The sequence below is a fragment of the Homo sapiens genome, chromosome 20 (assembly GCF_000001405.40).
Source record: "Homo sapiens chromosome 20, GRCh38.p14 Primary Assembly".
NCBI lineage: Eukaryota > Metazoa > Chordata > Mammalia > Primates > Hominidae > Homo > Homo sapiens.
In genome coordinates this window covers 20,007,604-20,034,074 of record NC_000020.11, presented here as the reverse complement: position 1 = coordinate 20,034,074, position 26,471 = coordinate 20,007,604, and the positions used below count along the sequence as shown (strand labels likewise).

The 26,471-nt window shown below is 41.3% G+C and overlaps 1 protein-coding gene across 3 annotated transcripts, besides 5 other annotated features; it reads right to left on the bottom strand.

Moving 5' to 3' along the window:
• Nucleotides 1-419: 419 nt before the first annotated feature.
• Nucleotides 420-16,785, bottom strand: NAA20 (N-alpha-acetyltransferase 20, NatB catalytic subunit). Of its 3 annotated transcripts, none has more exons than NM_016100.5 (6): nucleotides 16,626-16,713; nucleotides 11,595-11,619; nucleotides 8,308-8,398; nucleotides 7,156-7,291; nucleotides 1,422-1,567; nucleotides 420-973 (listed from the first exon to the last, which is right to left on the bottom strand). In NM_016100.5, exons 1-6 carry the CDS (start codon nucleotides 16,676-16,678, stop codon nucleotides 888-890), a joined length of 537 nt encoding a protein of 178 aa, NP_057184.1. In that variant the 5' UTR covers nucleotides 16,679-16,713; the 3' UTR covers nucleotides 420-887. The 3 variants fall into 3 exon arrangements, with proteins under 3 accessions (NP_057184.1, NP_852668.1, NP_852669.1); NM_181527.3 differs by lacking the exon at nucleotides 16,626-16,713 and adding an exon at nucleotides 16,034-16,280 and having other exon boundaries at nucleotides 446-973; NM_181528.3 differs by lacking the exon at nucleotides 1,422-1,567 and having other exon boundaries at nucleotides 446-973; nucleotides 16,626-16,785.
• Nucleotides 14,251-15,450: an enhancer, noted in NCBI's record as "MED14-independent group 3 enhancer chr20:19999269-20000468 (GRCh37/hg19 assembly coordinates)". NCBI's record gives its function as "activates an origin of replication core promoter dependent on BRD2, BRD4, P300/CBP and CDK7 cofactors, and independent of MED14, by STARR-seq in HCT116 cells {active_cell/tissue: HCT116}" and the evidence as "EXISTENCE:reporter gene assay evidence [ECO:0000049][PMID:35650434]".
• Nucleotides 15,912-16,412: an enhancer, noted in NCBI's record as "H3K27ac hESC enhancer chr20:19998307-19998807 (GRCh37/hg19 assembly coordinates)". NCBI's record gives its function as "activates a minimal SCP1, AML or CMV promoter by ChIP-STARR-seq in naive H9 embryonic stem cells {active_cell/tissue: H9 hESC(naive)}" and the evidence as "EXISTENCE:reporter gene assay evidence [ECO:0000049][PMID:30033119]".
• Nucleotides 16,467-16,586: a silencer, noted in NCBI's record as "silent region_12708". NCBI's record gives its function as "represses an Ori minimal core promoter by ATAC-STARR-seq in GM12878 lymphoblastoid cells {active_cell/tissue: GM12878}" and the evidence as "EXISTENCE:reporter gene assay evidence [ECO:0000049][PMID:35858748]".
• Nucleotides 16,637-16,706: a silencer, noted in NCBI's record as "silent region_12707". NCBI's record gives its function as "represses an Ori minimal core promoter by ATAC-STARR-seq in GM12878 lymphoblastoid cells {active_cell/tissue: GM12878}" and the evidence as "EXISTENCE:reporter gene assay evidence [ECO:0000049][PMID:35858748]".
• Nucleotides 17,027-17,206: an enhancer, noted in NCBI's record as "active region_17603". NCBI's record gives its function as "activates an Ori minimal core promoter by ATAC-STARR-seq in GM12878 lymphoblastoid cells {active_cell/tissue: GM12878}" and the evidence as "EXISTENCE:reporter gene assay evidence [ECO:0000049][PMID:35858748]".

Below are 26,471 nucleotides of genomic sequence, written 5' to 3'. Positions count from 1 at the left end.
ACTGGGAAGAATTTACTACACGATAAGAAGGGAGCTTCTTAAGTATGCTGGACAGTGATTGCTTCAAGTGTGCATTTTTAAAATACTACGTATGGAAGTCACAATTTAATTAAACGTATCTTAAATGATGATGACCTTTCACAATCCTGATTTTTTTTTTTTTTTTTTTTCTTGAGGCAGGGTCTTACTCTGTTGCCCGGGCTGGAGTGCAGTGGGACGATCTCAGCTCACTGCAACCTCCACCTCCAGGGTTCAAGCAATTCTTGTGCTTCAGCTTCTGCATAGCTGGGATGCCCAGCTAATTTTTGTATTTTTTTTAGTATAGATTTTGGCCAGGCTGGTCTCAAACTCCTGACCTCAAGCAATCAGCCTGCCTTGGCCTCCCAAAGTACTGGGATTACAATCTGATTTAGTTTTACAAATGACTAACAAACTTCAGAAAACATTCATAGAGTCAATAATGTATTATACATCTTAGATTTATACATTTCATATATGCTTTTAAAGCTTCAATTAACAGTTCAATACAAAATTTAAAAACAAATATATGCAGCAGTGGTTCTCAGGCACAGAACTGAGGAGGAGACTGGAGCAAGTCTTTTCCCTAGCATACATACAGTGAATACTATGAACCATGAGAGTGGTATGTTTCCTTCTGACCTAGCTGCCTTTTTGATTGAATTTTGTTACAATGAACAGCTTTAATAGGTATGATATTGCTAACTGGAAACAATGAGATTTAAAATAAATTGATAACCTGTATTTTCTTGAAGTCTTTAAGACCTAAAATGATTACTTTTCTCCTAATAGAGCTCCAGAATCATCCAATGAAAATAATATTGTCCATAAAGCATCTAGAGTATCTGCCTAAGAACCACTGCCCAGGGTTATTCAATGTCTTCAGGCCTCACAGGATGAGGTAATGGTATGATGGATTTCTTCTCAGTATCCCTGGAAAGTGCTTTCCTCATATCTGTAAAGAAGCAAAGTTTAATATAAACACCCAAAAAATGTATTATATCAAATGTAAAGTGTATAGGTAAAGTTCCCATAAGAGGTTTTATCCCTACCCCCACTTCACCATATTCTAAGCAAAATGTATTTATAAATGTCTCCCAATTGCCAAGTGTACCAGATGCTAACCAGACCTCACCCAGTATTCAGCTCACAATACACGTTTTCTTGTTAGCAAAATAATATGTATGTAACAGAGTGAAACAGTAAGGTACAGAAATTAACCATTGGTTAGTTAATAGGTAAGTTAATTACTACTACTAATAGGTTGATAAAGGTAGGTTGAGGGAAATTTAAATTTTAAAGTCAAATATTCTACATTTATTAAAATAATCAAATACTACAATCTGTAGAAAGAATGTAACTGTTTCGACTTCTTGGGGATACTGCCATGGAAGGGAGCTTACCATAAGCGTCCTCATCAGGCTCCCCGTTGCTGGCCGAATAGTACTCTATGACCGTCCTATATACACTGTAGCCCAACTGCTTGTACATGTTAACTGCAACTTGGTTAGATACTCTTACAAAGAGATCCACAAAAAATCCACCCTTTCTTTAAAAGAAAAACAAAAAAGGAAAATGTTAGAATGTGAGAAACCCTAGAAAGTAATAGATACATATTTTTTTTAAAACGTGTTTTTACCTTGCTTTGACTACTACTCAGAATGGTAGTAATAGGACCTTGTAGCTGATTACATGGTAATAGAAATTTGTATTACTTAGGATTTATGACAATTACTTTGCAGTGTAAGAACATGACTTTATGTTTGCATGCTAGTATTTCAAAAGCAACACGTTTTCTTAAAAGATAAACTCAAGGCATTTGTTCTACAAATTCACCACCTATTACAGTTTCTCCTGTTTATGAAGTTTATATACATGGAATCATATATTCTTTTGTCTTTTGCTTCTCTCAGTCGACTAACATTGTAAGAGTCAGCTTCAAGAGTGGCTGGGCTTGTGCACAAGTCATTCACGGTCCTGTTGATACGTTTCTGGCTTTTACTATACAAACGATGCTCCTGTGAATACTTCTGTTGAGTGTCTCACGTAAGGTCTATAGCTAGGAGTCTCACTGTTGTGTCACAGGGCACATCTTCATTAGTTAATACCAAACTGTTTTTCCAACTGGCTTGTACCAACTTACTCTTGCACAGAAGTGAGTAAGCCTCCATTCCACAGCAACAAGGCTTGGTGCATCACATGTTTTTATTTTTGCCAATCTTACAGTGTAACTATATCTCAGATTTTAATTTGTATTTCCAATTACTAACAATGCTGAATATATTTCTGTTGGTTGGCCATTTAGATTTCTCCTTCTGTATAGTACTTAAATCTTTCATACAATTTTTCCCCCGCTACAGTTCTCTATGTATTGTGAATATTCAATACTGTGTAATGTCTGCAAGTATCTTTTTCCAATTTGTGGTTTGTCTTGTCATTATCCTTATGTTATCTTTTGATAAAAAGTTACTTCACTTCAGTGAAGCTGAATATATGAATCCTTTCCTTAGCCTTTTTATGGCCTTTTTAAAAAGTTCTACACTGAGGCCACAGAGACACTCTGCCATATTATATTCAAAAGACTTCTTAGTTTTGGTTTCACATCTAGGTTTTTAATAAATCTGGAGTTGATTTGTGTATGGAATAATGGTAATCTGGGAAATTTTTTTTTCCCATAGGGACATCCAATTGTCCAACCACCTTTACTGAAAAGTCTATCTTCATACTATTGATGTGCAATGCCTCTTCTGTGGTATGTTAAAGTCCATATATTCTTGGGTCTGTTTCTCAAATTCTGTAACACTGGTCTAGATAACTACAGCACTAAGATATAGTCTCACTCTTTACAGTCTGATACCTGGAGGGGCACATCACCCATTTTTGTTGTTGTTCAAGAATATCTTGTCTCTTTTTTGCTCTTTCTGTTCCTCTGTATGTTTCAGAGTCAGCTTAACAAGTACTATAAAAAATGCTTGGGATTTTGACTGCAATTACATTGGAACTGCGGTCGATTACCTGTTTACTGTATCCTCTAATCCAGTGATAGTTTATCGCTCCACTTATCAGGGCTACTTTAATATCTCTCAAAAAAGTTTTTTAAATGTCAGAGAGGTCTTGCATAGCACTTGCTAGATTCTTAAGTACTTAATGTTTTTTCATGCTATGGCATCTTTTTCTAAATTTTACTGTTTATATATATATAAATACAATTGATTTTTATACTGACTTTCTATCCAACAACCTTGCCTACCTTTTATTAATTCTAAACATTTATTTCTAGATTCTTGTGGATTTTATATTTGTATAATCATATCTGTGCAAAATAAGTAAGTTTTGTTTCCTCTCATATGTAAATACAATTGATTTTTATACTGACTTTATATCCAACAACTTTGCCTTTTATTAATTCTAAATATTTATATTCTTATGGATTTTATATTTATATAATCATATCTGTGCAAAATAAGTTTTGTTTCCTCTCAATCCTCCTATCGTTTATTTTTTCCTGCTTTCCTGTGCTATAATTTCTAGTAAATTACTGAAGCGGGACTAACTTGTCCCTAATTTCAAAAGGAAAGCATTCAGTGTATCACTACTAAATATATTTACTACAAATTTCTTGTAGATATTTTTCAGGTTAAGGAAGTTCCCCCTTTCTATTTCCCAGTTTGCTAACAGTTTTTATCAGGAAGGAATATTGGATTTTATCAAGTTTGCTGCACTTTCTAAAATAACCAGTGTTCTCCTTTAGTGTAAAGTTGAAACCACCTTGTTCCTGATGTGTCATCCTATTTATGTAGTGCCAAATCCACTTTGCTAATTATTTTTCCGAGATTTTGCATCTGAGTGAGATGTTCCTCGAATTTTCCTTTCCCATATTTTGCCAAGTATTGTTATCAAGGTTATCCTGGCCTTAAAAAATAAGTTGAGGAATGTTCCCTTTTTTGGCTTGTGCAAAATAGTTTGTGTAAAAGTGACCTTTCAGTCATTATTTCTTAAATGTTTAGTAAAATTGGCCAGAGAAGCCACAGCTTTCTTCGTGAAAAGATTTTGGGCTACTGATTGAAATTCTTTAGGGCAGGGGTTGGCTTATAACCTATTTTGCTACTGCCTTCAAGCTAAGAATGGTTTTTGCAATGGTTGTTAAAAACAAAACAAAACAAAACAAAACAAAAAACTATGTAACCAAGACTTTAGGTGGCCTGTAATGCCTGAATATTTACTATCTGACCCAGAAGAAAATTGCTGATTCTTGTTCTATAGGCTTGACAAATTTCTATCTCATTGTTCTATCAATTAGAAAAAAGCATGTCTAAATCTCCCATTATAATAATAATTTGTCTATTTCTCCTTGTAGTTTTGTCAATTTGTGCATTTTTACTTTGAAATGATGTCACTTGGTATATACCATTTTAAATCGCTATTTTTTTTTTTTTTTTTGAGATGGAGTCTCGCTCTGTTGCACAGGCTGGAGTGCAATGGCGTGATCTTGGCTCACTGTAATCTTCGCCTCCCAGGTTCAAGCAATTCTCCTGCCTCAGCCTCCCGAGTAGCTGGGATTACAGTCACGTGCTACCACACCCGGCTAATTTTTGTATTTTTAGTCGAGACGGGATTTCACCATGTTGGCCAGACTGGTCTGGAACTCCTGACCTCAAGTGATCCACCTGTCTCGGCCTCCCAAGGTGCTGGGATTACAGTCATGAGCCACCACTCCCAGACTTGTTACTTCCTTGATTAAATATTTTATCAATATGCAGTGACCCTTTTTTATGCTGGTAATAATTATTCAACTATAACTATTATTAATAAGTATTCTAACTTTCTTTTGGTTAGAATTTGCAAGGTAATTTAAAAATTTACTTTCAATCTTTCTGTATTAAAAATATTTTAATATATTTTACACATATTTCCTGTAAACAATACAGACAGCCTTTGTCTTTTAAATAGAGTCATCATAGCTGGCCGTGCATGGTGGTGGGCGCCTGTAATCCCAGCTACTCAGAGGGTGAGAGAGGAAAATCATTTGAGCCTGGGAGGCAGACGTTGCAGTGAGCTGAGATCACGCCACTGCACTCCAGCCTGAGCAACAGAGCAAGACCCCATCTCCAAAACTAATAATAAATAAATAAAGTCCTAAGTCCATTAACGTTTACTGTTGTAATTACTGACAATATTTGGATTCTGGGCTACCATTTTATTTCATGCATTTTGTTTTGCTGGTTTAATTTCCTTTTTCTCTTCTTTGGAGTTGACTTCTATCATTCAATTTTTCTTCTCCTCTACTTGTTTGGTTTCTATTTTTAATGTATACATTGTATGCACTATGTATACATGTATATAGTGTATATAAGCATATGTATATGTATCATGTATGTGTATATGTATATATATGCCTACAAATGAAGATTACTTAAATCTTAGCAACTAGTCTAAAATAATGAAGGCTTAGAAACTGGAAGGGAAGAGAGCTTAGTGGTCTTCTACTCAGAGGGAGAATCTATCATACAAATACCCTAAATTATATGTGCAAGGTCATAGCTAGTTACGACCTGCTTTTTTTTATTATTATTATACTTTAAGTTCTGGGATACATGTGCAGAACGTGCAGGTTTGTTACATAGGTATACGCGTGCCATGGTGGTTTGCTGCACCCATCAACTCGTCATCTACATTAGGTATTTATCCTAATTCTATCCCTCCCTTAGACCCCCACCCCCGACAGGCCCTGGTGTGTGATGTTCCCCTCCCTGTGTCCATGTGTTCTCATTGAACAACCCACTTTCTAACTCCCTGTTCACTATACAATAATGCCAAATACTTTTTTTCAACATAATGCCATTAATAAATGTGTGTAAACTATAATCATGCTAAAATTTTCTTCCCTTCTTTGTTTGGTCTAGAGAGAACTTTAAAAAATCTTAAAGATTAGCACCGACTTCTTTTTCAGCTAACACAATTTCTTCTCTGAATGAGTTTGAGCTCCTTTGCCTCTAATTTGGCTTGAAGTCTTTGTCAGGCCACAGATACTTCTTTAAAACTTGCCTTTATTAAATCTAATAATTAAGTAGAAATTAAGCTCAAGAACCCTTCTCAGCAACTATTCTCTTTCCTACCACACTTTTAGGAAATTACAGTGGAGAAAGAAATGGCAGCTTGACAACAGGTGAAGCTACTACAAACATCTCTCTTCTAGAATGAAGATACGAGGAGGGGCCTTCTCTTCTATTTATTGTATTTCTTTTATCTCCAGTAATGAAGAGGTTTGATATATACAACACGTCCCTTAAAAAAAAAAAAAAAAATGCCATGCTGGCAGTTCGCAAACTGTGCACTCAGGTGCCCTAAGGTGTCCCAAACTCATACAGCCACCAAAGGATATTTCGAATGTTCAGGGAAAACAGCAAAACCTTACATGTCAGATATTGGCAAACTAGTTTGAAGTAGTTCACAAATTCAACGTAAGATCATGCTACATTCCTCTTAATGACATAATATTTCTATGAAGCTGAGTTTCTGGCAGTTGCTGTGATTAAAAAAAAATACTAGATGAAAATCAATATGAAACAGGAATGCAAGTGGTTCTGCCAAGTCATTTAATGTCCAACAGGTGCACACCTCTCATTGGTAGCTAGCCACAGTTATTTAAGAATGAAATGAAAATATTTCTTCTTTCAATTTATTTTTTTTCTAAATGGCTATTAGCTGTTAGGCTATAAATACTTATTAAACAGTTAGAATATAACTGCTTAAGACTGAACTATTTTCTTTTGGCCGAGGAGCACTGCTAAAAATTTATTCAGATGCCAAAGCAATGGTAACAGATTTTAGGAATGTGTGCCACTGTGGCAGGAACACTAAGAGAAACCTCGAGAGCTAGCCTTTGGAACTGAATTGCACCAATTCCTCAGCTTATAGGCCTATAGCGGGTCACTACAACACTTTGCCTTAATTTCCTCAATGGCAAAATAGAAACAATATCACTTTGACTATGTGATAGAATTGTTCTAAGGACTACTGGAGATGGAAGATGAAATTCCTGTGAACTGTAAAGCATGACAGTTATTCAGCCTGAAGGGGAAGAAAATGGTTAGGGGTCCACAAATCACTAAGTGTATTTGAAAAACTGAATCTCACCTTTCTGAAATCTCCTCTAGTAACTCCATAAGTTTAGCAGCCAAACCAAGGCGTCGAAATTCTGGGGCAACAGACAGAGCTGTGACGTGCCCGTGCCATTCTTCCCTAGCTACTGAGCCTTCTGCTTTACCCATAACTGCCAACAACAACAAAAATCACATTCAGTAACTAGACATTGATTTACACATAAATATAGAATTACTGTTCAGTATGTTTTTATTACAAAGGAAACTAATAAAGAAGTTTTTAAGTACCACCTGAGGTCATCCAGCTAACAGTTAGTGCTTTTATTTGAAATTCACTTGTAAATGTAACACTATCTGTTACATTTAGAATAGTTCTAAAATCAGAATTAGAACAAAAAAGAACGATATACTTAAAACACAACTAATTTTGAAAAAAAAAAAACCAGAGTATGTATTTTTTCAAATATCTGCATTTCATATGGGTGTGGGTATATGTGGGTACATGTGGATGTACACATATAGTTCAGAGCTAAAGGTTCTGTTAGTAATGCTAATTCAATGAGGATGCTATGATGCCTGCATTATGTACTAAATAAACCATGTAGAAATTTAACAAAAGTATAGAATGAAAGATTTTTTTTTTTTTTTTGAGACAGAGTCTCACTGTGTCACCCAGGCTGGAGTGCAGTGGCATGATCTCAGCCCACTGCAAGTTCTGCCTCCGGGGTTCAAGTGATTCTCCCGCCTCAGCTTCCTGAGTAGCTGGGATTATAGGCACGCGATACCACGCCCAGCTAATTTTTTGTATTTTTAGTAGAGGCAGGCTTTCACCATTTGGCCAGGCCGATCTTGAACTCCTGACCTCAAAGGATCTGCCTGCCTTGGCCTTCCAAAGTGTTGGGATTACAGGCGTGAGCCACTGTACCTGGCCTTAGAATGAAAGATTTTTTTTTTTTTTAGAATGAAAGATTTAAGAAGACTAAGACCATGTCTGTCTGGTTCACTGCCGTTATCGCCTGGGCCTAGCACAGTGCCCAAAACAGAGATCAGTAAGTTCTTGAATTGTTGAAGAGGAAATAAAATTACAAGCATCATTATATTCCAATTCTGCAGTCTAAAGCAATCAGTTGAAATCTATATTAAAATCTTTACCTACTCCACAAAATACTAGTGGTATTATACTTACTATAACCCATTAATTCTCCACCAGGTGCCTCTGCAACAATGAAATACTCTGGCCAGTGGGCGAGGTATTGTAGGTAGAAAGGAATCCCATACTAGAGTCCTGTTAAGGAGTGTGAAAAGTAATGGACAGTAAAAAGTTCTTCATTAAGGGATATTGTAAAAAAAGTTTCCTTTAAAAAGTATACTGTTACTTTATCCCCAGCTCTGTATGAGTCCTATAATCATACATACCATTACATGAAATATTTAGGTTATCACTGATTTTTAACAAAATTGCCTGGACATATAGCCTCAAGTGTGGAATGGTGATAGCACTGTCTAATAGAAAGCAGAGAATCAGGACCCCAAAGTTCTACAGTCTACTTCCCTACTGACCATACCATATCTAAGTCTCTCCATTTATCACCTGATATTGTTTGTTTGCGGTCTGCCTCCTCTTAGTCTATGAATATCATGTTCCCTCTGTCCCTGGTGCCTGGTACACAGTAGATGCTTAATACACTGATGCTTACATAATTGCACTGAAAAATTAATGGGTAGTTCCTACTTTGACTTCAGCTATGAGACTGTGAAAATAACTTTACAACCTAAGTCCTTCCAGAGCCAACTTAATTACCCAGTTTTTCCTCTCCACTGATTCAAATCCTGCATTTCTAGTAATGCAGATAAAAGCTGACTTAAGGAATCAACTATGTTAACAGTAAATGCCTGAATAATTTGCTCATGACTTCACTCTTCAACCTTGGGATATCCTTACTGACATGTAATCATTCCTACATTTCTCTTCTTCTTTTTACTCTGTACTTTAATGGATGAAAATATATTTCTTGTTAGTATAAACTTTCTGATGCAATTTATCAGAGGACACCATCAATCACACATAAATATATTTTTTAAGTTCCTGGAAAACCTGTTCCGTGCGAAATTCTTCAAAATCTCCTCTGAAGGACCATCATTATTTTGAATACCCCTCAAATACAACCCTTAACATGGCAGGACAGCCAGTCTTCCTGCCAGCCAGCCACTGACATATACCACAACCATCTCTTCTGTGGCTAACAGAGGAGTCCCAGACACCCCTCCCTCCCATCGACCTCTAGGACCTAACAGGTTACTTTCAAATATAGGCTCACCTGGATTATGGGACTTTCACTGCAAATTTTAAATGTCACTGGAAGCACACCATATAAACGGATTTGCATCCTAAAATCCTTCCTTCCTATATAGTGAAACTTTTGTCATTCAAAATTCTTCAAAAATCTTAAAAGTGGTGATATCATTAGTCGTAATTTAAAAAATCCAGATGAACCTGCAGAGATTTTTTGCTTTTCCCATTCAGTTTTGTTTCTGATATGTAGTCCTGTTGCTGCCTGCACCTGTAAGTTAATTTTTACTGCTGTATAGTATTTCTTTATGTGAAGAGACACCTTAAATAGCCTGTATCCTGACAATGGACACCTGGGTCATTTCCTGTTTCTCAAAAAAATGTTTGAAATCCTTCTTCAGTACAGCTTAATTTACTTAACCATCTCCTGATTGTTGTGTGTGAATCTTATTCCAAATGCTTAGTAACTCTCCTGCAATAAATAATGTTTGTAATGGTATAACTCAGGGGTTAGCAAACTTTTTCTGTAAAAGGCCAAATAGTTAACATCCTAGGCTTTGTGGGCCATACAGTCCCTGCTGAACTACTCAAACTGCAAAAGCCACAGAAAAAAATATAAATTAATCAGCGTGGTGTCCCAATAACATTTTATTTACAAAAACAGGCAGTGGGCCAGATTTGGCCTATGGGCCTTATTTTGTCAACCACTGACAAACTGCCTCTATTTCTTCTTATTTTCAGCTTTCAGGAAATGGAATTACTATTTCCAAAGTGCCTTCTGGAAAGATAATAGCAATTTATATTGTCACTAGCAATTTATGAGAATGTTCCTCTCACCTCACCATCATCAGCACTGAGGTTTATCATTTTTTAAAATCTTGGCTGATACATAAAATATGGCATCTCATTTTGGTTTTAGTTTACATGTCTTTTGACTGATGAGACTGAACTCTTAACACGTTCATTAAGCTCCTATATGCCCTCTTTTGATAAATTACCGGTTAGCAGAACCCTCCTACCCACCTACAGTAGATACAGAGCATAACACAGAATCCGAACTTTGTGTTGTAAGCCACTAGAGATGTGGGGTTATCTGTTACAGCAGCATAACCACAGTATCCTATCTTCACATCTTTGCCCCATTTTTCCATTAGGACAATAATAGACACTGTTCATTGTTACCTCAAAGCCTTCACTTTAGTAACAAGTCCCAATTTATAAAGCAGGGCACATTTCTGGACTCTAGATAGGATTCAGTAGACAGGTGAAGCATGAAACAGGTGCTGGTCAATGAGACAGAGCGGGCCTGTGTGGCATTTCCCAAAGGTACTCTCCTTTTTTTTTTTTTTTTGAGACGGAGTCTCGCTCTACATGTAGCCCAGGCTGGAGTGCAGTGGCGCGATCTCGGCTCACTGCAACCTCGGCTCACTGCAACCTCTGCCTCCCGGGTCCTGGTTCAAGCGATTCTCCTGCCTCAGCCTCCTAAGTAGCTGGGATTACGGAGTGAGCCACCACGGCTGGCTAGTTCTTGTATTTTTACTAGAGACGGACGGGGTTTCACCATGTTGGCCAGGCTGGTCTTGAACGCCTGACCTCGTGATCTGCCTGCCTTGGCCCCCCAAAGTGCTGGGAGTACAGGCCCAAAGGTACTCTTAAAAGGGAAGAACACCCTCACCTCCCCCTCTGCTGTTTCTGCTGCCGGAAACATGGCTGTGATGCTGTTTGCTGTGGCAACATCTGGAACAAGGTTACGGCCACCCTGGGAGGGGTAGAGTGCTTAAACTGCAAAGAGCCTGGCTGTTGGTGTCTTCATGGAAGCATCACCTGCCTGGGACTGCTTATCTCCAGACTTTGTTCACACTGGAGACTATGCAGCCACCTTGCTGAAGTCACTGTGCTTTCTGGTGAATACAGCCATGCTGACTCCTGAGGGGCAAGGTTGGCAGGGGAGCTATGATGTTACAGATTTCTACCAAGTCATGATATTAACAGTTTGTCAGCAGATCTAAGACAACTCTTGTTCTCAGTTTCACTTTTTAAAATTGCTTTCAGTGTTGCTTATGATGTTTCCTGACCTACAAGTTTTTAAACTTTTCAGTACTCCTCTGTTTTCCTTTCATTTCTGTTTTCTTTATTCTCAGTAAATCTTCATTCAACTTTTTTTTTTTTGTAAAAAAGGATACAGTTTCTGTAAGTGGATCCAAGTTACTGAAAGAAACAAGAGAAATGTCTCTAGTAAGCAGCGTTTACAATAACCAGTTGAAATAAGCCTGCTAAAGCTAACAGTAATATGCCACAAGGAAAACAAAACATGTTTCATCAACAACTTTAAGGCCAACTTTAGGGCTGAGGCAGATGATTTAATCTACCTAATAGCCATAATAAGCTGTCACAGCCACTATTAAGGTGTTTACATATTTTTTCACTTAACTGCTACTTGCTTCTTTAAAATTCAAGTTAATAAATCTACATCTTGTGTTTTCTAAGTGGCAATAAATTGCTAATGGAACTGGAGACCAACTAGGGATGTATCTCGCAGAGACAGAAGGTCAAACTCGCCCGCTGCAGCATCCAACCCCATGGATCCTCCCCGCCTGTGTCTGGGTCTTCCCTGACAATTGCTCCTTTATTCCACCCTCTAAATGTGGTCACTCCCACCACTCGGTTTTTGCTCCCCACTCCTATTCTACACTCCCACCTCCCTGTCCCCACCATCCCCATTCCTATGTGTTCAATCACGTGTTCTTAGTGGATGCCTCCCAACCTGGCTCCGATGCTGTGGGCAGCTCACCAGCACATCCCAGCACACCATTCCCAAATCTGCATTCTGAAAACCCATCTCCATCCCCTCACTTCCCTAGTCAATTAATGGAGCCACTATTTTGTCAGGTTCAAAACCAGCTACTTTTCAACTGTTCTCTTCTGATTTCTAGTCAAATTCTCCTTTGAGACCCATAACAATGCTAGTCATATCATATTTCTGTAGTCCAGCAGTTCTTAAACTGTTTGGTTTCAGAACTCCTTTACGCTAAAAAGTTACTGAAGACTCCAAAGAACTTTTGTTTATACGCGTAATATCTACTGAGATTTAAAAATTTTAAATATTCACTCAAAAATAATAAATCAATTACACGTTAACACAAATACCTTTACCAAAAAAATCACTATACTTCCGAAAACAAAACAAAACAAAATCCAGTGACAACAATGGCATTGTTTTAACAATTCTGCAACGTCCTGCTTAAAAGACAACGGGATTCTCAAGCATTTGTTATGCTTGCTGCTGAAAGATCACACCTTGGGAAGCTCCACTGTCTACTTGTGAGGGAATGACAGTGGAAAAGATGAAAAACCTTCTTAATACATCATGAAGATAGCTCTAACCTCACACAACACCTGAAACAATCTTGGGGACCCCAAACCCTGGCCCACTCCTTGAGAATCACTGCTCTAATACAGTGCAGGGAGTCACTCCACCACACCTTTCGACGACTGAACTGCTTTATCTCCTCTTGTCTGCCCACCCGCACCCTCACCTCCAGCCCCGCCATCTCAGGGGCTTCCTATTTCATCACTAAGAAGAGAAAACAGGAAGAAGTCTTTGCCAAAGTCCCCCCCCCCCCCCGCCCACCGAACCCACGCACACAGGCATCTGCACCCATATGCTACTTGCTCTCCTGTCAATAGGCACGGAGTGCGGGCGAGAGACCCCCTCAGTACTCGGGACCCTCCTCCTGCAATTCTCTTTCCCTCCTGCATCTGCATCTTCAATTTCTCTTTCCTGGAAGAAATGTACAAATATGATGTGCACTGAGCCATCAGCTCCTCTTGAACAGCTTCCCACTCCTGGGACAGCCTGAAATGCTGTCTTCACTCAGCTTCTGAGACCATGGGGTTCTCCTCTCACCTCACTGAGCCACACGGTCTCCTTTACTTGAACACTTGATGCCCTAAGGCGCCATCTTACAAACTCTTAGCCTTTTTTTCTACACTTGTGCTGACCCCCAAATTTCCATCTTTAGCTCAGACCTAATCTTGAGACGCCCATGCCCAGATGCCTTCCTGGCCCCTCCACCTGGGTTTCTTGGTGCACTTGGCAGAGAAGTTCAGGTCTTATGATGGCCTCTCCAGGCCCTGCCCTTCTAACTCTCTGCTGTTATCCCCTTACCCTCCCATGCTCACTCTGTACCAGCCATGCGGCCTGCCTCCTATTTGAAACAGGGGTGTCTTCACTTACTGTTCCCTCTATCTGGAAGCTCCCCTGGCCCCCAGTGTTCATGTAACTCATTCCTAACTTCCCCAGGTCTTTCTTCAAGGGCAGTCTCCCTGAACCCCCAAACTAAAGCTGAATCCCCACTCACTTCCAGCTTTCCTTCCCTGCTTCTATTTTCCTTTGTAACTGAACACTAAGTTCCACATGACTCCCCGCACTGTGATTCCCAAGGTGTGGGCCAGGATTTGAGGGGGTCCCCAAAATTGTTTCAGGTGTTCTATGAAGTCACAGCTACTTTATGATACATTAAGGTGTTTAGAGGGGAAAATCTACATTCTATAAAGACACCTTTTTGTTTATGTCTTGTTCACTGCTGTGTCTCTAGAACTGGCACACAGTAGGCACTCAAATATTTTTCCAAGAATAAAATATGTGTTAAATTAATTGCAGTGTTCTACATCCATGGATTATTTCAATTCCAACTGCATCATCTAATCTGAGTCATTCTCAGAGTTTTCTACCAAAATGCCCTAATCAAAGAGGCAAGTAAATACAAAAAAATGGGAACCAGGTGTGGTGGCTCACACTTGTAATTCCAGCACTTTGGAAGGATTAGGTGGGAGAATCACTTGAGCCTGGGAGTTCCAGACCAGCCCGGGTAACAAAACAAGACCCTGTCTCCACAAAAAAATTTAAAAATTAGTGGGGTGTGGCAGCACGTGCCTGTAGTCCCAACTACTCGGGAGGCTGAGGCAGGAGGATTGCCTGGGCCTGGGAGCTTGAGACTAAAGCGACCTAGGATTGTGCCACTGCACTCCTGTCTGGGCAACAGAGCGAGACCCTGTCTCAAAAAATAAAAGAAAATGGGGAATAAGTGGAGTTCCCCTACTGGCACCTTCTGAAGAGGCCACATGATTCTCTGAAATCTAATATTTTCTTGCAAGTGTTCCTGTGTATTTTCTTTCTATTCATTTCCATGTAAAACTGTTGTCCTTTCCTAGATCTTCAGTTAAAACTGATTCTCCATGAGGCTCTGCCTTTTCTTGAAGCTTCAAGGCACCCTGTCACCTCCCATGCTGCACCTCCCAAACTGAAGCCTCTGTCAAGTCATCGTCTCTGGGCCACTGCCAAGGCCTCCTGAATGGCTTACCTGCCCAGTTTACCTGCTGTCATCACATGACAGCCCACAGAGCTCAGTGGTTAAGAATTTGAATCCATCACCTGGATTCTACAGTGAACACTTTGCTACACTGGCTTCATCATTTCTCTCTGCCCACCTATCAATCCTAGATCCACTTTTAAAAACAACAGGGCAGTAAGTGAAAACGAAAAACCAAGTGGTTCCGATTCAAGGGTCAGGAGGATAGAAAGGACTATGGGATGAGATGGCTGGGAACACTTTAAAGAGAGGGTGAGCCTCTCCAGAGGCTCCAGGTGGGTTAAGACCCACTCCAGAGCAGTGGATCGCAAACGGAATGTGCGTTTCTAACATGGTCCCCTGACCACAGGCACCAAGTCTTTCAGAACCACTGCTCCAGAGCCAATATCCTTGGATGAAGTTCCTCGCTTTACTCATTCTCACCTGGGCCAATTCACTTGTGCTTGCCATGCCTTGGTTTACTCATACACAAAATGGGGGTGACAGCACCTCAAAGAATCGTGAGGATTAACTGGATTATTACGTGGGCACTCAGAACAATGCAGGGAACAGTGAGTTCAACACAAGTCACCGTAGCTACCAGACTGGCCCAACAGAAAATTCTTTCCACAGGATCAAGTCTAAACCCCTCCTGTTTCACCCATTTCTTCCTGACTGCTCAGTGGCAGAAACCAGCCACTAGATTCGCACTGATCCCAGTTGTCTGACCGCACTTCAAGTTTCCCCATTTTCATGCCCCGCTCCTTCTCCGGAACTTCCGTCTTCCTCACTTACCAATGTGTTATCCATCTTCAAGGCTCACCCCCTCTTTGAAATGTTCCCAGCCATCTTATCCCATAGTTCTTTCCATCTTCCTGACACTTGAATCGGAACCACTTTGTCCTTAGTTTTCACATACCGCCCTGTTGTTTTTTTAAAGTGGATCCAGGACTGATAGATGGGAAGGAAGGAGAGATACCAGCGTAGCAAAATGTTAACTGCAGAATCCAGGAAAAGTGTCTATAAAAGCACATGGTGAAATTCCTCCAACTTTTCTAAATGTGTGGGAATCTTCATAATAAAATGTTTTCTTAAAAAAAAAAAATTGGTACCTGCAAATCAGAGGTCTGGCCTTAACTCGAATCCAAAGAAACTGCATCCAGGGCTCTGGGCACAGCGAGCCTCCCCTAAGATCTGCCGTGACTCCTCACAGAGGAAAGGTGTGTACACCGGGGTGCGCAGCTACAGTAACTAAACTTGCAAACACTAACCATGACTGAGACAGCATCTGCTGCAGGGGACGCAGTGATCAGTGTCATTTCATTTGGATACAATTTAACCACGGCCACCAGGTGGGCTTCACGATGTACACATCCCAACAGCTGCTGACCAGCTTCCGATCCTCGCAAGCCCCCTCTGCGGCCTGGCCGTCGGCGGTGCCCTCTGCCCAGAAGAGGCGCGGCCCGGCCACGAACCAGCAAGCAGTAGGGCAGGGCGAGAAGCCCAGGTCGTGGGCTCCAGGCCGCGTCTCCAGCTCGCCCCATCACCCCAGCGCCTCCTGACAGCGACCACGAGCGGAGGCCCGAGCGCTGCCCCAGAACCTGCCAGCTCGCAGGGTCCAGAGACAAAGTTTGAGCACCTCGGCCAAGGTCGCCAAGGCCGGCGTGCGTCGACTCCAGGCCCACCTCTCCCTGGACCCTGTGGCCCCAGGGAGGCGCCCACGTTGGCCGGCGGGGGGTGGTTCTCGCGGGTCCCCGTCCGGGCTTGGGGTCCGGCCGGGAAGGCGCGGCTGGGGCCGGAGCTGGCGGGGCCGGGAAGCGAGGCCCGGCCAAGAGCGGCTGGCCCTAGGCGCGTGTCACTCACATGTTGTTGAAGCGGAACAGGTCGTCGCAGGTAAAGGCCCGTAGCGTGGTCATCGCGCCGCCGCCGCTTCCGAAGACCGTTCGCCAAGACCCCGCGCCCGCCCTGCCGGAAGTCTCCCGGAGCGTGGCCGCCGCGGAACCGAGCGAGACGGGGTACTGCTTCCGGGCTACGAGTTGCTGGGCAACGACAGCAGCAAAGCAGCTTCCTCTGGCGGCCGGCGGCGGGAATTGCCAGGTCGCTCCTGTAAGGCCTCCGGGGCTGTGGCTGCCCAGAACCTCGGAACCCCTCCCAGGCAGCGGCTGCAGAAAGCAGGCGGCGACACCTGGGAAGGAAAGAAGCTGCTGGTGATGCGGAAACCCAAGCAGAAGAGCGGAGTTCGCAGCCACCCGGTGCTGCAGAGTAAATGAGGAATGGGAGAATTTATGACCCAGAATCCCTTGTCCCAGTGTTGCGAGTTGCAGATGTCATCTTAAAATGTCAATACCACGTTTAAAAACAAAAAGAAGGCCGGGCGCGGTGGCTCACGCCTGTAATCCCAACACTGGGAGGCCAAGGCGGGCAGATCACTTGAGTTCAGCAGTTCGAGACCAACCTGGCCAACATGGCGAAACCCCCTCTCTACTAAAAAAAAAAAAAAAAGGAAAGAAATAAAAATTAGCTGGGCGTGGTGGCACGCGCCTCTAATCCCAGCTACTTGGAGGCTGAGGCAGGAGAATCGCTTGAACCCAGGAGGCGGAGGTTGCAGTGAGCCGAGATCTCGCCACTGCACTCCAGCCTGGGCGACAGAGCTAGACTTGGTCTCAAAAATAAATAATAAATAAATAAAAGCAAAACGAAATGTAAAATTGATTTTGATAGTACGCTTTATTTTACCCATTTATTTTTCCTATTTGGGAAAAATATTTTTCCCTGACCCCACTTTATTATACCCGAAATATCATTTCAACATGTAACCAATCAATACTCAACATGTAATCAATCAATAAAAAAAGGAATGTGATATGTTACATTCTTTTTTGCAAAGACTTTGAAATCCGGTGTGTATTTTACATTTGCAGTGCATTTCAATCTGAGAGAGCAGCTGTCATCGGAAATGCTTGTTCTCTATTTAGATTTCATCAATGTATGGTTAAAAAGCAGATTCTCATATCCAAGCGGTTCCAAATATACTGTTTTCAAATCGCTGAACCAAACATCAGTTTTTAAATTTAAAGTAGTTAAAATTAAAAGTTAAAAATTCCTTTATTCAGACCAGACACAGTGGCTCACACCTGTAATCCCAGCTACTTGGGAGGCTGAGGTGGGAGGATCATTTGAGCCCGGGAGGTAGAGGTTGCTCTGAGACATGATTGCACCACTGCACTCCAGCCTGGGTGACACACCAAGACCCTGTCTCAAAAAGATAAGATAAAGAGAGATAAAATACATAAAGCAAGCAGGAATGCTGAAATGTATTTACACATGAGTGTTAAACTGGTCAATATCCACAGAGCTGTAATCACTGTCTCTCCTGGGCACTGTATAACACTATGCATTTGTATTTTATGGACAAGAAAAATTTTCATTACTATCAATTTTCCTCAGCTTACAAATTTGTAAAATTTTGTATTGTCAAAGACAATAAAAAGCAGAGAAAACCTGGAAACGTGTACTAAACAGTAATCTTTTTCTGGCCATTTCAAAGTGTTTCATAATTTTTTGTGTGTGACATGAACTAATGTTGATTTGAATTTTGTTCCTTATGAAGTAGTGAAGGTTTTTATAATATTTTTGGCTCTGATTCATTGGTATTATAAACATTAGAAGTTTATAGCTACTTTATGTTTGTATCTAGGTAATGGTGGAATAAACATGATTTTGATTTTTAGAAAAAAACACTGTGGGTTTAACACAAAGGTAGCATTGGAACCCTGCAGAAACTGGATGCTGTAGGCCAGCAGTTTGCAAGCACCGATACGAATTATTATTCCGATTTTGAGGCACAGATCAGAAATATCCTATAGCTACGTGGCCATTCCAACACATGGGGTCAGGGGAACGTGCAGGGCAGTACAGAGAATATCCTGGATATTCACCAGCTGGTTCTCCCTTCTCTCCTGTTTGTCTACTTATTTTTAAACTGTTATCAGTTTCCATTGCTGATTGCCTCCTATGAATTAGCATCTCGAAGGGTGGCCAGTAAGTGCCTAGCAAATATTGATTAAATAGCTGAGTGAAAAAGTGGCACACAGGTTACCCAGAAGATAATGTCATCCTTGGTAGTTTACAAAGAGGGTATTCACATTCTCAACAAAGGTATTTCACCTCTCTTTGCCTCAGTTTCTGTAAAAGGTGCATAATCATAGCACCTACTTCATTGGATTATTATGAAGATTACATGAGTTAATATTTGTAAAGCAGTTATAACAGTGCTTGCCACATTTTAAGTGCCATATAAGTGTTTGTTAAGAAAAATAATGAAATTAAGTATCTTGCATTTTGAAGGATCAGAATCTGGAGATGTAGAGTTAGGAGAGGCACAGCCCTCAATCATAGACCTTAGCACAAATGGCTCTGGAGGGGTGATGTTTGCTCATAGTCCCCGATGAGCAGCTTAGAGGAGATGGGTGGGGCTTTGGAAGCCGCCTCCCTTTCCTCTTATTGTCTTGCTTCAACCAGAAAAGTCTACATGTTGACACACTTGTTTTATGGGTTTTAAAAATACCTTTTAGGGCTATTTACATTCTTAAAGACTTTTTAATAAAAAGGATATATGCACATTATTAAGAAATCAAAGACTTGTGGAAATGTACAAAGAATAAAGCAACAAATCATTGAAAATTTTGCCACCTGGGAATAAACCATGTTAACTCTCAGATAATTTCAGTCATCTCTCTATGTAGATTAAGGGGAGTGAGAAAGAGACTTTTACTTAAAAGGGATTCTAATTATATATGTTAATAGATTATGAAGTATAAGGTATTACTGTACTTGACTTTTTTCTTGAATTTAACAGAAGAAAAACAAATCAAATGAAAATGAAAGAGTGCCAGGCGCGGTGAGTCACGCCTGTAATCCCAGCACTTTGGGAGGCCGAGGCAGGTGGTTCACCTGAGTTCAGGAGTTTGAGACCAGCCTGGCCAACACGGTGAAACCCCATCTCTACTAAAAATACAAAAATTAGCCGGGCGTGGTGGTGGGCACCTGTAATCTCAGCTACTCGGAAGGCTGAGGCAGAAGAATCGCTTGAACCCAGGAGGCAGAGGTTGCAGTTTGCTGAGATTGCACCACTGCACTCCAGCCTGGGCGACAGAGGGAGACTCCATGTCAATAAATAAATAAATAAATAAATAGGCTGGGCGCGGTGGCTCACACCTGTAATCCCAATGCTTTGGGAGGCCGAGGCGGGTGGATCATAAGGTCAGGAGTTTGAGACCAGCCTGGCCAACATGGTGAAATCCCATCTCTACTAAAAATACAAAAAAAATTTAGCCAGGCATGGTGGCGGGCGCCTGTAATCCCAGCTACTTGTCAGGCTGAGGCAGGAGAATCGCTTGAACCCGGGAGGCAGAGGTTGCAGTGAGCCGAGACTGTACCACTGCACTCTAGCCTGGGTGACAGAGCAAGACTCTGTCTCAAAAAATTAAAAAATAATACAAAGAATAAATAAATAAATAAATATGAAAATAAAGAGATTGCTGAGCAGCACAAAATAAAAGCTCCTAAAAGTTTCCTGTAAAGTTTAAGATATGTATAGTATTATCTTATATATGTATTAAATGTAATTTCAATCTCCTAATGAGGATAATTAATGGTCAAAATCAGATTTTTTAATAGAAATTTCAATTTAGGGCACTATTTACTCTTTTTTTGTGTTGTTTTGTTTTTTGTTTTTTTGCTTTTTTGAGACAGGGTCTCGCTCTGTCTCCCAGGCTGGAGCGCTGGCAAGATCTCAGCTCAGTGGAACCTCTGCCTCCTGGGTTCAAGGGATTCTCCTGCCTCCGCCTCCTGAGTAGCTGGAACTATAGGTGTGCACCACCACACGAGGCCTTTTTTTTTTTTTGAGACAGAGTCTTGCTCTGTCGCCCAGGCTGGAGTGCAGTGGTGTGATCCCAGCTCACTGCAACCTCCGCCTCCTGAGTTCAAGCGATTCTCTGCCTCAGCCTCCTTAGTAGCTGGGATTACAGGTGCCCGCCACTATGCCTGGCTACTTTTTTTGCATTTTTAGTAGAGACGGGGTTTCACCATCTTGGCCAAGCTGGTCTTGAACTCCTGACCTTGTGATCCACCAGCCTTGGCCTCCCGGAGTGCTGGGATTACAGGCGTGAGCCACCGTGACTGGTCTTTTTCTTTCTTTCTTTTTCTTTCTTTCTTTTTTTTTTTTTTTTTGAGAGAGGGTCTCTCTCTGTTGCCCAGGCTGTAGTGAAGTGGCACCATCTCAGCTCACTGCAACCTCCACCTCCCAAGTTCAAGCGATTCTCGTGCCTCAGCTCCTGAGTAGCTGGGACTATAGGCGTGTGCCACCATTCTCTATAAAGCCACATCAGTTTTTCAACTATATATCACCTAGTTGTTTGGTTTTAAGTCTATGATTGAGTGGATGTAATTGTCATTCCTGTTTCTTCTTACAGCTTTTCCCTTTCCATTCTTCATTCTGATGCATGTATGGGTTGGCTGGGTTTCTCTGCTGAGCTTTTGTTTGTTTGACTTTGCTGTGCTTTGTTTTTCCTCGGGCTCATGGTGCTGGTGCTCTATTCACAGAGCGCCCTTGTCTCTTAGGATGCTCAAGTGGAATATTGGCTGGATATTCCTGGATCCCATGTTCTCTCCTCCAAGATTTTGTAAACATCATTACTCCATTGTTTTCTGGTGTTTAAAGTTTCTGGGGGAGAAGAATAAGGCCAGCATGAGTTTTTTTCCCCCTTGTATCAGCGACTTAATTTATGCTGGAGTCTAATTATAACATTTCTAGAAATATAATTATAACACTTTCAGAAATAAAACATTTTTAACAGTGCATGTGTTTTAAACCTAGTGAATCTGACAATTTCAGCAGTTTAACACTGAAATGTACTAAAAACTTCAAAACAGAATCACTCATACATAGCTGATGGGAATATAAAATGGTGCAGCCCCTCTGGAAAACAGTTTGGTAGTTTCTTTACAAATTGAACATGCAAACATGCAACTATCACTTAACCCAGCAATTGCATTCCTGGGCATTTACCCCAGGGAAACGAAAAGTTACGTTTTTATCAAAACATCTGTATGAATATTTAAGCCGGAATCAAAAGTCTGTGTACCCTGTGATTCCATTTACATGGACATTCTTTTTTTTTTTTTTTTTTTTTTTTTGAGACAGGGTCTCACTCTGTTGCCCAGGCTGGAGTGAAGTGGCACCATCTCGGCTCACTGCAACCTCCACCTCCCAGGTTCAAGCGATTCTCCTGCCTCAGCCTCCCGAGTAGCTGGGGCTATAGGTGTGTACCACCACACCTGGCTAATTTTTATATTTTTAGTAGAGATGGGGTTTTGACATATTGCCTAGGCTGGTCTCAAACTCCTGGCCTCAGGTGATCCATCCACCTCAGTCTTCCAAAATGCTGGGATTACAGGCATGAGTGAATGTGCCCAGCCATTTATATGACATTCTGAAAGGGCAGAATTATAGGAACAGAAGAAAACAGACCAATGTTTGCCCAGGCTGGGACTGATCATGGTGGTGGCTACATGACCAAATGAGTCTGTCAAAATACATCAAATGTGTACTAATATGAGTCAATTTTACTTTATCAAACTTATACCTTAATAAATCTGACTTTAAACAGAAGAATCACCAGCACTTTGGGAGGCTATGGTGGGAGGACTGCTTGAGGAGTTGGAGACCAGCCTGGGCAACAAAGCGAGACCCCATCTTTACAAAAAAACAAAAACAAAAAAAAAAAAAAAAAAAAGGAAGAAGAAGAAGAAGGAGAAGGAGAAGGAAAAGAAGAAGAAATAGCCAGGCATGGTGGTATGTGTCTGTAGTCCCAGCTACTTAGGAGGGTAAGGCCAGGGGGATCCCTTGAACCCAGGAGTTTGAGGCTCCAGTGAGCCATGATTGCACCACTGCACTCCAGCATGGTGTTTTTAAAAAAGAAAGGAAGGGAAGGGAAGAGAGGGGAGGGGAGAAAGGGAGAAGGAAAGCTGAGATTGTGCCACTGCACTCTAGCCTGGGCAACACAGTGAGACACCGTCTCAAAAAAAGAAAAAAGAAAAGAAAAAGGAAAAGAAACCAATAAGCAGCAGTATCAGCATATTTTTAGAAGTATGGAGATAAATAATGGTGGGAGGGGAGGGGAGGGGACAGAAGGAAGGAAGGAAGGAAAGAAGGAAGGATCAGCATAGTCTTTCCATTTTTGTCACCATCATTTTAAGAAGTATATTTGAAAAGCATGAACTACGTTAAACCCCACAGTTACTTGGGCTTCTAGGACATGCTGTTATTGACTTCTGTTTCAGTGCATTTGATTTTATTTTTAGCCGGCAGTAAAACACTGTTTCTATCCCGGCTGCACATTTTCCCCTACATTAAAGATGACTCATAGAACTCTTTATTTATCATTCTACACAGAGTAATTTCTTTTACTGCTTAGTTGGAAAAAACTACAAGCTTTTACCACATTTAATGGCAAACATTTTCCTGCTCATTGAAACAAAACACCATGTGCTCTCTGTAAACAGTGCTGACCCAGATTCACATCCATCATTGCAAAATTCCACATTGAAAACAAGCAAACAGCTTGATGGTTCATCTGTTGTTGCTCTGTTTCTTTTCTTTCAGATTATATGGAAAGGACAAAGTGCACAGTAAATATATATTTTGATATATCCTAGGCAGCATACTTTACAATTAAACAGCTTGGATGTTTGGATGACTTCATATAAGAAATTTTTTATATAAAATAATAACTGGATAAGATAGATGCATTGACTCTGGCCTATCATTGTAATAATCTATTTTCAGTTTTGCTAACTAGGATGTATAAGTTCATTCACCATTCAAATGTAAAACTACAGGTTTCTTTCTTTATTATTTTATTATTTATTTTTTTTCTTATTAAAACTACAGGTTTCAATTAAACAAGGCAGGCTGCATTACCTATCTTTCCCCTACCAATACCTCACTAAAATGAGAATTAAAGAAAATTTAAAAAGGAATTTTTAAAAGGGCATACATCCATAGGAACAAAAAGAATGGAAGAGGAGACAGCAGCCAATGGGAACTGGTAACAAAATTTTGCGGGCTTGAAAACTCAGCAGACAGGAGAAAGCTAGATGTTAACCAATGTCAGGCGGAAAAGCCAGCAGGAAGCAAGGCAATCGATTCCCTATGCAGCGTCTGAGCGGGCTCAGGAATGAGCTCTGGCAGGTGTGAGTGAAGGGAGAAGATGAGCGCCTCACTCCTGGAGAGACCCAGAAGCCATGTCCCTGAGCCGTCAGAGCACAGGCAGCGAAAAGTGACGTTGAGACACTGCATTGGAAATGGGAGGAGGTGAAAGCTGGCAGACGGAAAGCTGAAAACCCACAGGCTCCTTGCCTGCTTAGCTCCTAGAACGCTGGCAACAAAATTTAACCCCACTTTGCACCCGGCGCCCGTAGGATACTGGAGAATTTTCTTGTGGGGAAACCACCTGACCCAGGAGAAAAGCCCCACAGGCATTGACATATGACCAGGCTGCTACATGGTCACCCTAAGGAGAGGACCACCATACAAGAAGGTTCAATCCTCACCTTCCATGATATGGAATCAATTATTAATGTCTAATATTGAAAAAGAGGCCGGGCATGGTAGCTCACGCCTGTAATCCCAGCACTTTGGGAGGCAGAGGTGGGTGAATTACTTCAGGTCAGGAGTTCAAGACTAGCCTGGCCAACATGGTGAAACCCCTTCTCTACTAAAAATATAAAAATTAGCCGGGTGTGGTGGCACATGCCTGTAATCCCAGCTACTCAGGAGGCTGAGGCAGGAGAATTGCTTGAACCTGGGAGGTGGTTTGCAGTTAGCTGAGATCGTGCCGCTGCACTCCAGCCTGGGGGACAGAGTGAGACTCTGTCTCCAAAAAAAAAAAAAAGAAAGAAAGAAAAGAAAAAGAAACCAATAAGCAGCAGTATCAGCATCTTTTTAGAAGTATGGAGATAAATAATGAATACACAGCTGGAGACGTAGTTTAGGGGAGGAGATAACAGAAATGGGATTGGGAGGAGGCTCAGGGGCTGCTGCCTTCCATTGCAAGTCTTCCAATATTTGATTTTGAAAACCATGTATTGTGTTTATTCTTTTAAAATCCTCCTTCCCCTTGAAAAACATAAGGCAAAATCATGTGAGTAAACCAGTGTCATCTGGAAAAACAAATGAGGGCTCAGGATTGTCCACAATGGTTACCTGGAGAAATGAAAGAGTTCTGCGAAATTCACCATACTTTCCCTTTGAAATTGTCTGCTGGGGATTCCACAGGAGCTTTTTCCAGCGATGTTTTAAATCATCCACTCCTTGCTCACCGAAGAGGTTTTATTAAACACATCTTTGTTTTTCGAAGTTGGTGAGTAAAAGGGTCTTATGATTAGTAGATTCTCAGGGAATGAAATGCCTTTAAAAGGAAGTTGGCTGTTCTTCTTCTTCTTTTTTTTGAGACAGAGTTTCACTCTTGTTGCCCAGGCTGGAGTGCAACGACACAGTCTCGGCTCATCACAACCTTCCCTTCCTGGGTTCAAGCCATTCTCCTGCCTCAGCCTCCTGAGTAGCTGGGATTACAGGCGTGCGCCACCACACCTGGCTAATTTTGTATTTCTAGTAGAGATGGGGTTTCTCCATGTTGGTCAGGCTGGTCTCAAACTCCCGACCTCAGGTGATCTGCCCACCTCGGCCTCCCAAAGTGCTGGGATTACAGGCGTGAGCCACTGTGGCCGGACCAGCTGTTCTTTAAGAAAATAAAAAAGCTTATAAACTTCCCATGTCACATGCAGACAATGTGACTAATTGTGCAGACTACATGACGACATCCGTGCGTGCACACACATGCATGTGCAAGCAGCTGGCCCGGACAGAGAGATCCCCCTCCGCTGCTCCTGTTTGCCCTCATACAGATGTTGGAGGTGAGAGAAGCCACTCTCCAGCAAACTCAGCAAAATCATTAAGTTTGACTTCAGCAATCCCACCTAATTTTCAGAATCTTTTCCCCACGCCCTTCAAGCCCCTTTTCCCTGTCAAAGCAAGAAGAACATAATTGAATATATATAATGAGGTAAAAACTTGGTTCCTGACATTTGTTTGTTAAGCCTTTTGTCCATAATGTAGGTGATTTTAAATGAAGTTATGCCTTACTCTTAGCAAAACAATTATGAGCTATTTTCTTCTCCTTTCCTGCAGGGTTCTAAGAGCAGCACACCTCCTACATTTGTGTATTTGTATCAGCTGCACAAATGCCAAGGCCCCAAATATACCTTGAACTAATGCTTCTCAAGCCAACTCTAATGTGCTCGTGAATCTTGTTAAAATGCAGATTCTGATCCAGCAGGTCTGCCAGGGGTCTGAGATTCTCACAAACTCCCAAAAGATGTGATGCTTGATCCGTGGACTATGGTTTTCAAGGCAAAACCCTAAACTATCTGTTCAATGAGAGTTTGCAATTTGTCAGGTCTCATATTTTCATGTGCTAGCGAAAAATAGAAGCTTTGTGATGTCGTAGCTGCTTCACTTACGTATTTTTTTCTGATTGGTTAAAGAGTCTCTAGCATTTTATTGTTTTCTGTAGTTTTTCTTTCAGTAGATAATAGATGCATAAGTCTTTTCTGCATATGATCGTACATCAATAGGCTGCAGAGAAA

Excerpts from the sequence above, each read along its gene's own strand:
- NAA20 (NM_016100.5), bottom strand. The coding sequence starts at position 16,678 with ATGACCACGCTACGGGCCTTTACCTGCGACGACCTGTTCCGCTTCAAC. Across the intron at positions 11,620-16,625 it reads CTGTTCCGCTTCAACAACAT|TAACTTGGATCCACTTACAG; the intron begins GTGAGTGACACG and ends TGTTTCTTTCAG. Across the intron at positions 974-1,421 it reads GCCTGATGAGGACGCTTATG|ATATGAGGAAAGCACTTTCC; the intron begins GTAAGCTCCCTT and ends GCTTCTTTACAG.